At 44.4% G+C, this 14,372-nt stretch overlaps 1 protein-coding gene across 24 annotated transcripts in view, besides 1 other annotated feature; it reads right to left on the bottom strand.

Moving 5' to 3' along the window:
* The window catches only part of BBOF1 (basal body orientation factor 1), a 63,516-nt gene that overhangs the window by 26,387 nt on the left and 22,757 nt on the right, over window positions 1-14,372 (bottom strand). For 10 of the 24 annotated variants that reach the window (XR_007064048.1, XM_011537171.3, XM_011537174.3 and 7 more), the window contains 5 exons: window positions 10,348-10,418; window positions 8,404-8,548; window positions 8,025-8,132; window positions 6,283-6,776; window positions 793-894 (listed from right to left, as the gene is read on the bottom strand). Coding sequence is in view for 22 of the 24 variants with exons in the window: in XM_011537171.3 (XP_011535473.1) it covers window positions 793-894; window positions 6,283-6,776; window positions 8,025-8,132; window positions 8,404-8,548; window positions 10,348-10,418 (920 nt within the window). In the remaining 2 variants the exon portion in view is untranslated. Of the gene's footprint in view, window positions 1-792; window positions 895-6,282; window positions 6,777-8,024; window positions 8,133-8,403; window positions 8,549-9,027; window positions 9,718-10,347; window positions 10,419-14,372 lie in introns of those variants that run through there. The other 14 variants (XR_007064049.1, XM_047431778.1, NM_025057.3 and 11 more) reach the window with 4 other exon arrangements.
* Window positions 11,973-12,142: an enhancer, noted in NCBI's record as "experimental_36659 CRE fragment used in MPRA reporter constructs". NCBI's record gives its function as "activates a minimal promoter by MPRAs in K562 erythroleukemia cells, with activity observed for both the introgressed and non-introgressed 14:74511124 variant alleles {active_cell/tissue: K562}" and the evidence as "EXISTENCE:reporter gene assay evidence [ECO:0000049][PMID:34662402]".

The following is a 14,372-nucleotide window of genomic DNA, read 5'->3' as shown; positions in this document are numbered from 1 at the left end:
CTGTAATCTCAGCACTTTAGGAGGCTGAGGCGGGCAGGTCACCTCAGGTCAGGAGTTCGAGACCAGCCTGGATAACATGGTAAAACTCCATCTCTACAAAAAAATACAAAAATTAGCCAGGCATGGTGGTGGCCCCTGTAATCCTAGCTACTCGGGAGGCTGAAGCACGAGAATCACTTGAACCAGGAGGCAGAGGTTGCAGTGAGCCGAGATTACATCACTGCACTCCAGCCTGGGCAACAGAATGAGACTCCTTCTCAAAAAAAAAAAAAAAAAAAATTAGCCGGGCGTTGTGGCACATGCCTGTAGTCCCAGCTACTCAGTAGGCTGAGGTGGGAGGATCACTTGCACCTGGGAAGTGGAGGTTATAGTGAGCTGTGATTGTGCCACTGCACTCTGGCCTGGGTGACAGAGTGAGACCCCATCTCAAAAAAAAAAAAAAATACTTATCTTTGCAAACCAATAAAATCTTAATATTGTTATGTTTCTCTTCAGTTGCCACTCATTCAGCTGAGCAATATTGTAACTTCTTAATAAGCACTACCTTAAACATCTAAGATGAATCTTTCCCCTCCCCCTTTAATTCCAACTCATCTTTCATTTTCATGCTCATTCATTAATCTCCCATTCTTTATCTCTGGGAGCTGCAGTAGTTAAGCAGTAGGGCCTTTTTATATTTTCTGGTCCTTTCCCGTCCCTTTAGTTCTAAGTAAGAAAAATAAGTTCTTTGTTCCTAAGTGGTTTCTAGATTTGATAACAACTTGGTATTTCACTGCAGAAATAGGGAGTTACCTAGAAGGACAGCCATTCATTTTTGCAAAGAGCAATCGCAATACTTTTTCCTTCTGCTCCCAGGTCAAATCTCCAATATCCACATTTCCTTCAATATGTGTCCTAAAGAATTTCAAAGGAAAAAAATGTGAAAAGGAAAAATACGGTCAAATAGGCTTCTCTTCTTTTTAAAAAATATATAATGGGTAAACATAGGATAAATTCCACACCATAATTGAATATTATGAAACAACTACAGGCCAGGCGCGGTGGCTCACACCTGTAATCCCAGCACTTTGGGAGGCCGAGGCGGGTGGATCATCTGAGGTCAGGAGTTCGAGACCAGCCTGGACAATGTGATGAAAGCTCGTCTCTACTAAAAATACAAAAATTAGCTGGGCATGGTGGCAGCTGTCTGTAATCCCAGCTACTCGGGAGGCTGAGGCAGGAGAATCGCTTGAACCCAGGAGGCGGAGGCTGCAGTAAGCTGAGATCGCGCCACTGTGCTCCAGCCTGGGAGAAAAGAGTGAAACTCCGTCTCAAAAAAAAAAAGAAAGAAAAAAAGAAAACTACAAAGCAAACTATCCATCACAAAATCATAAAGTTGATAAGGACAACAATATACTAGCCAATCCGAAATGTTACATATCATAAAGATGAAAATGACAAAAACTTTAACAACATGAAAAAATATTTGTGCTCAGACATTAAGGAAATAAGCAAAGTAGAAAACTCTAAGGAGGCTGGGGACGGTGGCTTACCCAACACTTTGGGAGGCCAAGGCGGGCAGATCACAGGTTAGGAGTTCGAGACCAGCCTGGCCAACATGGTGAAATGCCGTCTCTACTAAATATACAAAAATTAGCTGGGCATGGTGGCAGGCTCCTCTAATCCCAGCTACTCAGGAGGCCGAGGCAGGAGAATCGCTTGAACCTGGGAGATGGGAGGTTGCAGTGAGCCGAGATCACTCCACTGCATTCCAGACTGGGTGACAAAGCAAGACTCCTTCTCAAAAAAAAAAAAAAAAAGAGCCTGGGTGCGGTGGCTCACACCCGTAATCCCAGCACTTTGGGAGGCTGAGGCGGGAGGATCACAAGGTCAGGAGTTCGAGATCAGCCTGACCAAAATGGTGAAACCCCATCTCTACTAAAAATACAAAAATTAGCTGGGCATGGTGGTGGGCACCTGTAATCCCAGCTACTCAGGAGGCTGAGGCAGGAGAATCACTTGAACCTGGGAGGTGGAGGTTGCAGTGAGCTGAGATCGTGCCACTGCACTCCAGCCTTGGCAACAGAGCGAGACTCCGACTCAAAAAAAAAAACAACAAAAAAAACTGTAATGTAACATTATTTATTTAGAGACACAGACAAAGGGAACAAGAAAAAAAAAGTTGTTTAGGCCAGGTGCGGTGGCTCACACCCGTAATCCCAGTAATTTGGGAGGCCAAGGTGGGTGGTTCATGAGGTCAGGAGATCAAGACCATCCTGGCTAACATGGTGAAACGCTGTCTCTACTAAAAATACGAAAATTAGGCTGCGCGCAGTGGTTCACACCTGTAATACTAGCACTTTGGGAGGACGAGGCGGGCGGATCACGAGGTCAGGAGATCAAGACTACCCTGGCTAACATGGTGAAACTCTGTCTCTACTAAAAAATACAAAAAAATTAGCCGGGCATGGTGGCAGGAGCCTGTAGTCCCAGCTATTTGGGAGGCTGAGGCAGGAGAATGGCTTGAACCCTGGAGGCAGATCTTGCAGTGAGCCGAGATTGTGCCACTGCACTCCAGCCTGGGTGACAGAGCGAAGACTCTGTCTCAAAAAAAAGAAAATCAGCCAGACGTGGTGGCATGCACCTGTAGTCCCAGCTCCTCGGGAGGCTGAGGCAGGAGAATCGCTTAAACCCGGGAGGTGGAGGTTGCAGTGAGCCAAGATGGCATCATTGCACTCCAGCCTGGGCGACAGAGTGAGACTCTCTCAAAAAAAAAAAAAAGTTTAGGTTTTGGCCAGGTGCGGTGGCTCACACCTGTAATCCTGGAGCTTTGGGAGGCCAAGGTGGGAGAATACCTTGAGGGCAAGAGTTCAAGACCAGCCTGGGAAATGTAGTGAAACCCTTTTCTCTATAAAAATAATTTTAAAATTAGCCTGGCATGGTGGCACATGCCTGTAGTCCTAGCTACTTGGGGGGCTGAGGTGGGAGGATCGCTTGGGCCCAGTCAAGGCTGCAGTGAGCCATGATGGTGCCACTGCACTCCAACCTGGGCAATAGAGTGAGACCGTCTCAAAAAAATAAAAAAGTCGGCCGGGTGCAGTGGCTCACACCTGTAATCCCAGCACTTTGGGAGGCCGAGGCAGGCAGATCACAAGGTCAGGAGAGCGAGACCTTCTTGGCTGACATGGTGAAACCCCGTCTCTACTAAAAATACAAAAATTAGCCGGGCATGGTGGCACGCACCTGTAATCCCAGCTACTTGGGAGGCTGAGGCAGGAGAATCGCTTGAACCCGGAAGTCAGAGGATGCAGTGAGCCAAGATCGCCACTGCACTCCAGCCTGGCGACAGAGTGAGATTCCATCTCAAAAAAATAAATTAATTAATTAAATTAAAAAGTCTAGGTTTTGTCTTATGATTACCATATACTTCATTTTTTAAAAAATTTATTTTATTTATTATTATTTTTTGAGACTAGGTCTCACTGTGTTGCCAGGCTGGAGTGCAGTGGCATCATCATGGCTCACTGCAGCCATGGCTCACTGCAGCCATGGCTCACTGCAGCCTCGAACTCCTGGGCTCAAGCAATCCTCCCACCTCAGCCTCCCGAGTAGATGGGACTACAGATGCACACCATCATGCCAGGCTACTTTTTGTTTTGTTTTTTGTAGAGGTGGGGTCTCACTGTGTTGCCCAGGCTGGTCTTTAACTACTGGACTCAAATGATCCTCTTGCCTCAGCCTCCCAAAGTGCTGGAATTACAGGCATGAGCCACCACACCCAGCCGATTACCATATACTTCAACTGTCCTTTTCCAATCTACCATTTAAATAGATGATGTAATTTTTTTTTTTTTGAGATGGAGTCTTGCTCTGTTGCCCAGGCTGGAGTGCAGTGGCACAATCTTGGCTCACTGCAACCTCTGCCACCCAGGTTCAAGTGATTCTCCTGCCTCAGCCTCCTGAGTAGCTGGGATTACAGGTGTGTGCCATCATGCCTGGCTAATTTTTGTATTTTTAGTAGAGACGGGGTTTCAGCAACTTGGCCAGGCTGGTCTTGAACTCCTGACCTCTTGATCCACCTGTCTCAACCTCCCAAAGTGCTGGGATTACAGGCGTGAGCCACTGCGCCCAGCCCGATGATGTAATATGTTAACCACCATTTCTGCCCTGCTGATAGAGGCAATAGGACACTAAGGCTAAAGTGTTAAGGTGGTCAGTAGCAAAAATGTCACATAGAACACAGAATAGGAAGAGTCCAGTTACTGCAGTAACAATGTAGACAATCATTTAACTTCCTCTGAAAATGTATAACACTTACTATTTCGTAAACAAAAGGATATAAAGAAAACTGCCTTATATATGGTAGGGACTCAACTTATTTGATGTATTAAATAAAAAAGAGAAATTACAGCAAATCTCTTGGTAACAGTAGTAGTATTACAGATTTCTGAATATGACAAGAAGTAAATTATAGTTTAGGCATTTTGAAGAAGAATCTTATCTATCAGAGACTACTGAGCATGTCCAACCTTCTCAACAGCCATATAATTCAAAACAACCTATAAAATTAGTCCTTTAAAAATAATTTAAAGCAAAAAACACATTTGGAAGATGTTAGGCTGGGCATGGTGGCTCGTGCCTGTAATCCCAGCGCTTTGTGAGGCTGAGGCAGGAGGATCACTTGAGCCCAGGAGTTCCAGGCTGCAGTCCTTTTAAGTTTCTTGAGTTAGGGCCTTTGAAGAATCTAATTGCATTGGAATATAAAATAATTTTCTTTCAGAATAACCCTCAAAATGGACTATAATTTAATCCATGGTTTATAGGGAGGAGACTGCTCTAAGAAACAAAAATGCTAATAGGAAACAAAGTTAATCATTATGTAATATATAGTCTGCAACTGTCTCAAACATTCTGTTACCTTTATCATAGTGGCAGCAGATCTCTAAAATTTTGGAAAATTTTGGGGGACTTTTGGTTAATACAATGCTGGGGGCACTACTGATTGTCCTCCAATCCATGGGACAGTTCTCTATAACAAAGAATTGTTACAAATAATTGTTTTGGTTTTTTGTTTGTTTGTTTTTTTGAAACAGGGTCTCACTCTGTTGCCCAGGCTGGAGTGCAGTGATGCAATCTTGGCTCACTGCAACCTCTGCCTCCTGGGTTCAAGCGATTCTTGTGCCTACTGAGTAGCTGGGACTACAGACCCCCGCCACCACGCCCAGCTAATTTTTGTTTTTTGTTTTGTTTTTTTGAGACAGTGTTTTGCTCTTGTCACCCAGGCTGGAGTGCAATGGCGTGATCTTGGCTCATTGAAACCTCCATCTCCTGGATTCAAATGATTCTCCTGCCTCAGCCTCCCAAGTAGCTAGGATTACAGGAATGTGCCACCATGCCCAGCTAATTTTTGTATTTTTAGTAGAGACAGGGTTTCACCATGTTGGTCAGGCTGGTCTCGAACTCCTGACCTCAGGCGATCCACCCTCCTCGGCCTCCCAAAGTGCTGGGATTACAGGTATGAGCCACCACACCCAGCCTAATTTTTGTATTTTTAGTGGGACAGGGTTTCACCATGTTGGCCAGGCTGGTCTTGAACTCCTGGCCTTAAGTGATCCATCCGACTTGGCCTCCCAAAGTGCTGGGATTACAGGTGTAAGCCACCATGCCTGGCCTACAAATAATTGTTATATTGATTTTTTTTTAATTATATGGTTGGATAGATATTATCACCTATGAATTTCATCTCAGGATAGTAAACGGTACAAAATATTTCTGAAAGTATGCGTATCAAAAATGTTTAACCTGGATTGGTGCAGTGGCTCACGCCTGTAATTCCACCACTTTGAGAGGCTGAGGCAGGAGGATCACTTGAGGCCAGGAGTTCAAGACCAGCCTGGGCAACGTAGTGAGACCCTGCCTTTAAAAAAACAAAAAAGTTTAACCTGAATCTAATCAGGCTTTTATAACAAATGTCCAATTTATGGGAAACAAAGGAACAAGTGAAAAGATACATAATGACCTTATATATCTTATATAAAAAACAACCTATGGGAAAAATAGTCTCCTTAACAAGACTTCTATCATGAGACAGAGGGGAATATACTAAGAATACGTCCAAAGCCCCACATGCTATGCTAAGCCTAGAGATTACAAAGATGAATAAGTCAGTTCCTGTCCTCAAGTAACCTACTGAGAAATCTATTCAATACTTGAATATTATAAAACTAAACTTTTCAGACTTCCTCTTTCTGTAAAGGACACAAAAATAGCAGCAAAAAGATAATAATAAAGTATTGCTAGTACCATTTTTCGGCCTCCAGAAGATCCTGATTCACACTATTGGTGCTGTGCTCTCTGCCATCAAATGTTCTGATTTTGGGATATTCTGTTCTTCCTGTACATGCTGCTCTCATTTTTAAATTGAAAGCAGCTTGTGCTATCTGCTTATAATGCTTCCTGCTAATTAGGATCTGTTGCTTCACTTGGTGCAGAGCATCTAAAAAGAATCTTTCCACTTCTGTTCTCTCATCCAGTATGTTCTTGGCCAGCTTCTTCACACGATTCATTTCCCTGTCCTTCATCTGAAGAAGGTGCTGCAGCTTGTCAATTTCTACCTGACCTGCTTGGTTCTCTATCATTGCGTGTTGCTGCAGTTTTAAAACTTCACTCTCAAACTCTTTGGTCATGTAACTCAGAGCAGTCTCCAAGTTTACTACCTTCTTCTGAAGGGTTTGGATTTGTGATCTCTGCTGGACAAGTTGCATAATCTTTTCCTTAACCAACAGATCATTGATCTCCTAAAAACAGAAAGATGAGAGGTGATTTTTTTTTTCTTTTGAGATGGAATCTTGCTCTGTCGCCCAGGCTGGAGGGCAGTGGCACAATCTCAGCTCACTGCAACCTCCATCTCCTGGGTTCAAGCAATTCTCCTACCTCAGGCTCCTGAGTAGCTGGGATTACAGGTGCCCATCACCACGCCCAGCTAATTTTTGCAATTTTAGTAGAGACAGGGTTTCACCATGTTTGCCAGGCTGGTCTCGAATTCCTGACCTCAGGTGATCTGCCTGCCTCAGCCAGCATAACAGGCGTGAGCCACTGCGCCCGGCTGATTTTTTTTTTAATCATTCCAGAACTTAGGAAGTTCCTTACTAATTTCCATTACTTCATGAGATTTAAGTTTTATGCCAAGCTGAGGTGATATTTTGGTATTCTATATAGAGAGTAACAAACATCCTAGGGTCCTTGTCTGGACTTGGGAAGGCAATCTACTAATTATGAATTGTGCTAATTAAGAAACTTTCTTGCAGCCATGAAAAAGAATGAAGGGCTGAGCATGGTGGCTCATGCCTGTAATCCTGGAGCTTTGGGAGGCCAAGGTGGGTGGATCACCTGAGGTCAGGAGTTCGAGATCAGCCTGGCCAACATAGCAAAACCCTGTCTCTACTAAAAAATGCAAAAATTAGCTGGCCGTGGTGGTGCATGCCTGTAGTCCCAGCTACTCAGGAGGCTGGGTCAGGAGAATCACTTGAACCCAGGAGGTAAAGGTTGCAGTGAGCCAAGATCATGCCACTGCATTCTAGCCTGGGTGAGAGTGAGACTCCGTCTTTCTCTCTCTCTCTATAACTATATAGTAAAACATTAATAACTATATTGGAAACTATGGCATCTCCTTGTTGCCTATCCCAATATCTATTTTCCCTTTCCCTTTCCTCCATAGTAATAAAACCCCAACTTCATTCAGAAAGGCAGTTAAGTCCAGCTGAAAATTCCCAGTCTCCCTTGAAGTTCAGCATAACCATTTTCTAGTCAATGATATGTAAATAGAAATGTGTGTAGGACTTCCAGAAAGACCTCTTAAACGAGAGGCACACTTTTTTCTTTTTTTCTTCCTTCCTGCTATTTAAAGGAATGGTTAGAGCTCCAGCAGCGCCCCCCAGGCTGTGAGGTGAGTTTGAGGATGTAAGCCAAGTGTTGCAGAGCAAAGTTAAGGAAGCTGAGTGTCTATTAACTTTGTGGCACTACCATTCCTGCTGTGGATTGCTTACCTCCAGGCCTCCTTTAGGTGAAAGAATAAACCCTTGTGTGGTGATGCCACTGATGTCAGGACTGTTACTCACCGCTAAATGTATTCCTAAGTGACTCAGGGACCAACTCTAAGCAAAGAAAAATGAATATTCTAAGGTAGTAGAGGATAAGGGTCATATTTATGTTTCTGATATATTCTTTATAAGTTGAGTCTAATGCTTCTTATAAGCATTATAAGATTGAGTATTTAACCTTTTCAGATAAAAAAAGTGCATCATCCAGACAGATGAAAATGGTCTCATTGTCCTTATATATCATTATTATACCCAATTTTTGGTATTTACCAACCCAATCCTTAAATAAAGAAAAGAAGGACACCAAGTCTAAATGAGAGGGAACCTTTTGATGTAAAAGTAAAGTATGACTCTCTTGCAACTTCTGGGAGTTTTTTTGTAGAGCGTCAGTTTCCTTCAGGTGATATGCCAGAGCTTTCTGAAGATAATCATTCTCTTTAAAAACATTTCTTCCAGCATCGTTCAATTGCCTGAAATAGATATAAGATCTCAAAACACAGGTCTAACTTTTAGATATCGCCAAAATAGAAAAATGATTGCTTCACCACCTGCACCCCCAATATTATCAATAGTGACTACCACCTATTTAGCTTATGGTGGGTACTCAGTAGTTATGTGGGAATCTTGTAATTAAGTTTTCACCCAATAAAAAAGTGAAAATGGCTGAATGCAGTGGCTCACATCTATAATCCCAGCACTTTGAGAGGCTGAGACGGGAGGATCACTTGAGCCTAGGAATTTGGGACCAGCCTAGGCAACATAGTGAGACCCAATCTCTACAGAAAATCTAAAAAATTAGCCAGACGTGGTGGTTTGCACCTGTAGTCTGTCGCAGCTACTCAGGAAGCTGAGGAAGGAGAACCACTTGAGCCCAAGAAGTCAAGGCTACAGCAGTGAGCCATGATTGTACCACTGCACTCCAGCCTGGGTGACAGAGCGAGACCCTGTCTCAAAAATAAATAAATAAATAAATAAATAAATAAATAAATAAAGTGAAAAAGGACGGGTTACTTCTAGTGCAAGGCAGTTAAGAGCAGGTATGAGTCTCCCATGCTCTTTCCTGTCCACATGACTAGACGTGAAAAACTCCAACACGGCAGAGGTGCAAGAAGGAAGCAGCCAGGTTCCTGAATCATCCCTGGAGGAGAGCTGCCAGACCCATACAGGATTGTTCGATGAACAAGAAATAAACCATTAAGACCTGAGAGTTAGATGTACTTCCACTAATATACCTCATGACAACCCTGCAAGATTGCTACTATTAGCCATGGTTTTACTATTTATTTATTTTTATAAACTCAGATTACTGGAAGAAGTAAATTAGCCCTACTTTTAGTTGAAGAAATTTAACTTCAAGAAAGTTAAGAAATGTGGCTTGGTACAGTGACTCACATCTGTAATCCCAACACTTGGGAAGCCCGAGGCGGGTGGATTGCTTGAGCCCCGGAGTTCGAGACCAGCCCGGGCAAAACCCAGTCTCTACAAAAAATACAAAAATTAGCTGGGCGTGGTGGCACATGCCTGTAGTCCCAGCTACTCTGGAGGCTGACGTGAGAGGATCACTTGAGCCCAGGCAGTGGAGGATGCAGTGAACCATGATGATGCCAATGTACTCCAGCCTGGGTGACAGAGCCAGACCCTGTCTCAAAAACAAAGAATCAAACAAAAAGGTAAGAAATCTTCCTACGGTTAGTTAGTATACATGTTGAGAACCAAAGTCAAGTGCAGGCTGGGCACGGTGGCTCATGCCTATAATCCCAGCACTTTGGAAGGTTGAGGTGGGTGGATAACTTGAGGTCAGGAGTTCGAGATCAGCCCGGCCAACATGGCGAAACCCTGTCTCTACTAAAAATACAACAATTAGCCAGGTGTGGTGGTGGGTGCCTGTAATCCCAGCTACTCAGGAGGCTGAGACATGAGAATCGCCTGAACTCGGGAGGCAGAGGTTGCAGTGAGCCAAGCTCATGCCGCTGCACTCCAGCCTGGATAGCCTGGATGACAGAACAAGACTCCATCTCAAAAAATAAATCAATAAATAAGTAAGTTCAAAGCCCAGGATCTTTCCACCACACAATGCTGCCACAGAAAGAGTAGAGGAAAAAGGGGTGGGAGTATACAAAGAGAAAGAAACAGGGAGGGACAGTAGACCAGAAAATTTGAAGCAAGTAAGCCAGAACAGAAGGGGGAAGACAAGAAAGTAAGAAGAAAAGAGACCAGCAAAGAGGTAAGAGAGGTAATCAGAGTCAGAAAGTAGGCAGCAGTCTCTTACACAATAGCCTCATGGTGGGCTCTCTCTGCTAGCATTATTATCTTCTTTTCAGCCTCTTGTTCTAGTCGGTGCTAAAAAAGAAAATGGGCTGCTTAAATAATTATGCCCCTAACAACAAATTTTACTCATCAAAAGATATTTATTTTAGAATGTCAAATAAAAAACTCCTGTCCCCATGACCTGAAAGAACTCCAAGCACTGGTGGAGAAGCTGACAAAGAGGACAGTGTGAACACAGGAACCTTAGGGTTCCTCCCCATTTTCCCACTTAAGGAAGCAATATGACATATAAATAGGGGAGAAAATTCAATTCCATGTTGGAAAGCAGAATGAGGAGGAATTTCTGCTAAATGCACTGAAATGAGAGTCATTCATTTATTCATTCAGGAATGGTAGCCCTCAGGACTAGGCTGTTCTCAGTAGCCTCTCCCTCTACTCCACCCTAATCTTGATCTCTTTTTTACTTGGTGTAGAAAATAAAAATTAGAAGTGCTTGGTCAGTCTAAAAATTACTATGAGCATTGTCCGGGCGCGGTGGCTCACGCCTGTAATCCCAACATTTTGGGAGGCTGAGGTGGGTGGATGACCTGAGGTCAGGAGTTCAAGACCAGCCTGACCAACATGGAGAAACCCCAGCTCTACTAAAAATACAAAATTAGCCCAGTGTGGTGGCACATGCCTGTAATCCCAGCTTCTCGGTAGGCTGAGGCAGGAGAATCACTTGAACCCGGGAGGCAGAGTTTGTGGTAAGCCAAGATCGCGCCATTGCACTCCAGATGGGCAACAAGAGTGAAACTCCATCTCAAGAAAATAAATAAATAAAAAATAATACTATGAGCATTAATAATTACCAGACTGTTTTAGATACTGAAATTCTGTAGTGAACAAAACAGACAAGGTCCCTGATCTCATGAAGCTTATATTCTAGGGTGAAATCTAAACAATAAGCAATAATTATCATGTTTTGAGCATTTACTATGTGCCAGGAACAGTTCTAAGAATGTTACATGTATCATTTATTTGTCACAGCAACCCTATTATATAGATACTACTATTATGCCCAAAAGCAGGGACTGAGGAAACAGAAACAGAAAGGTTGGCCGGGCCTGCTCGCTCATGTTTGTAATCCTAGCACTTTGGGAGGCCAAGGCGGGATGACTGGAGCTCAGGAGTTCAAGCCCAGCTGAACAACATAGGGAGACCCCATCTCTGGGAGTATCCCTCTGTTGCCCAGGCTAGAGTACAGTGGCGTGATCTCAGCTCACTGCAACCTCTGCCTCCTGGGTTCAATCGATTCTTTCACCTCAGCCTCTCGAGTACCTGGGATTACAGGCACCTACCATCATGCCCAGCTAATTTTTGTATTTTTGTAGAGACGGGGTTTCACCATGTTGGCCAGGCTGGTCTTGAATTCCTGACCTCAGGTGATCCACCCGCCTCAGCCTCCCAAAGTGCTGGGATTACAGGCATGAACCACCGCGCCTGGCCAAAAAAAATTTTTTTTAATTCGGCATGGTGGTGTGCACCTGTGGTCCCAGCTACTCAGAAGACTGAGCCAGGAGGATTGTATGAGACTGGGAGGTAGAGGCTGCAGTGAGCCATGGTTGTGCCACTGCACTCCAGCCTGGGTGACTCTGTTTAAAAAAAAAAAAAAAAGAGAAGAGGTTGGTGACTTGCCCAAAGTCACAAAGCTAGTAAGTGGCAGAGCAGGGATTTATATGCAGGCAATCTGATGCTATACAGTCCCCTAACAAGTAAACAAATAAAAAGAATTAATAGACTGTGATAAATGCTATCAGTGAAATAAATGGGGTAATAAGGTAGATAGTAACTAGAGGAGGTCGTTTTATTATTTATTTATTTATTTATTTTATTATTATTGTTTTGAGACAGAGTCTCACTCTGTCACCCAGGCTGGAGTGCAGTGGCATGATCTCGGCTCACTGCAACATCTGTCTCCCGAGTTCAGGTGATTCTCATGTCTCAGCCTCCCAAGTAGCTGGGACTACAGGTGTGCACCACCATGCCCAGCTAATTTTTGTATTTTTAGTACAGACAGGGTTTCACTATGTTGGCCAGGCTGGTCTCAAACTCCTCTCCTCAAGTGATCCGCCGGCCTTGGCCTCCCAAAGTGCTGGGATTATAGGCGTGAGCCACCGTGCCCAGCCTCATTTTAGATTGGAGTTTAGGAAATCTCTCTCTAAAGAAATGATATCTGAGCTCTAAATAAGAATGATCCAGAGCTGGAGGAACAGCATTCCAGAAGGAGGGACTAGCAATATAAAAATATGGATGTAGAGGCCAGGAGTGGTGGCTCACACCTGTAATCCCAGCACTTTGGGAGGCCGAAGCGGGCAGGTCACCTGAGGTCAGGAGTTCGAGACCAGCCTGGTCAACATGGTGAAACCCTGTCTCTACTAAAAATACAAAAATTAGCTACTCAGGAGGCTGAGGCAGGAGAACCAGTTGAACCCAGGAGGCAGAGGTTGCAGTGAGCCGAGATCATGCCACTGCACTCCAACCTAGGTGACAAAGTGAGACTCTGTCTTTTTTTTTTTTTTTTTTTTTTTTTTTTGAGACGGAGTCTCGCTCTGTTGCCCAGGCCGGACTGCGGACTGCAGTGGCGCAATCTCGGCTCACTGCAAGCTCCGCTTCCCGGGTTCACGCCATTCTCCTGCCTCAGCCTCCCGAGTAGCTGGGACTACAGGCGCCCGCCACCGCGCCCGGCTAATTTTTTGTATTTTTAGTAGAGACGGGGTTTCACCTTGTTAGCCAGGATGGTCTCGATCTCCTGACCTCATGATCCACCCGCCTCGGCCTCCCAAAGTGCTGGGATTACAGGCGTGAGCCACCGCGCCTGGCCGACTCTGTCTTAAAAAATATATATATATAAATGTAGGACAGGGCTTTGTGATTCAAAGAATAGAAAGAAATAAATGGGAAAATCAAACCAAACACCAATGATCTGGGAAATCCTTTATATGGCCGGCTGGGGCATGCTGAGGTATAAAGTAAATGAACAGGCCGATTGGAAAGCCCAATGCCATGAAGCTGCAGCACCGGGGCTCAAACCAGCACAGGAGAAATATCCATGAAGTTTGTACCTAACATGGAGAGGCAGACCCTGCTGTGATGTCCAAACCAACATTCATTCCCATCCTTCTTTTTCCTCCCTAGCTTCCACTAATGGCGAGGAAAACAAACATTCACTTTCCCAGTAGTGTGTGTGTGTGTGTGTGTGTGTGTGTGTGTCTGTGTGTGTGTGTGTATAAGAGAGAGAGAGAGAAACAGAGCGAGAGAGAGAAAGAGGAAGAGAGAGAGAGAAGGACAGGGTCTTACTCTGTCATCCAGGCTGGAATACAGTGACACAATCATGGCTCACTGCAGCCCCGAATTCCTGGGCTCAAGCAATCCTTGAGCCTCAGTCTCCAGAGTAGGTGGGAGAACAGTGTGTGCCGCCCAGCATTCTTTATAACATGGTTCTGGTCAGTGAGATGTAAGATGAAATGTGCTAACAGCTTCTGGGAAAGTTGTTATGGCTTCCAGATAAAAGGGACAGACACAGCTGGAGCCTCCCTTCTTGTCTTGAACACAGAGCTTCAAACTGCAGTTAACTACCTTGTAACCATGAAGGAAAGGCCAGCAGCCATCTGCTCTCATATATAAAAATCCTATTTACATAAGCACTGTTACTCGGGTATTCTGTAAACTGACCAACTCTTTCTAACCTTTATTTTCTACACCAAGTAGAAAAGAGATCAAGATTAGGGTGGAATAGGAGAGGCTCCTGAGAACAGCCTATTCCTGAGGGCTTCCATTCCTGACAGTGCCAGGGAGGGTCTCAGAGGGAAAGCACCAGGGTGCTGCTCTTGCCTCATTTCCTCCAGGTTATTCCATACACAAACTGGAACCTAGAGCCACTTTCTATAGCAATTCCTTTTATCTAAACCCCATAGGAGCAAGGCATGGTAGCTCATGCCTGTGATCCCAACACTTTGGGAGGTCAAGGCAGAAGGATTGCTGGAG

The sequence above is a fragment of the Homo sapiens genome, chromosome 14, assembly GCF_000001405.40.
Source record: "Homo sapiens chromosome 14, GRCh38.p14 Primary Assembly".
In the NCBI taxonomy this organism is placed as follows: domain Eukaryota; kingdom Metazoa; phylum Chordata; class Mammalia; order Primates; family Hominidae; genus Homo; species Homo sapiens.
The sequence above is the reverse complement of the archived record's forward strand: the minus strand, read 5'-3'. Positions and strand labels throughout refer to the sequence as shown.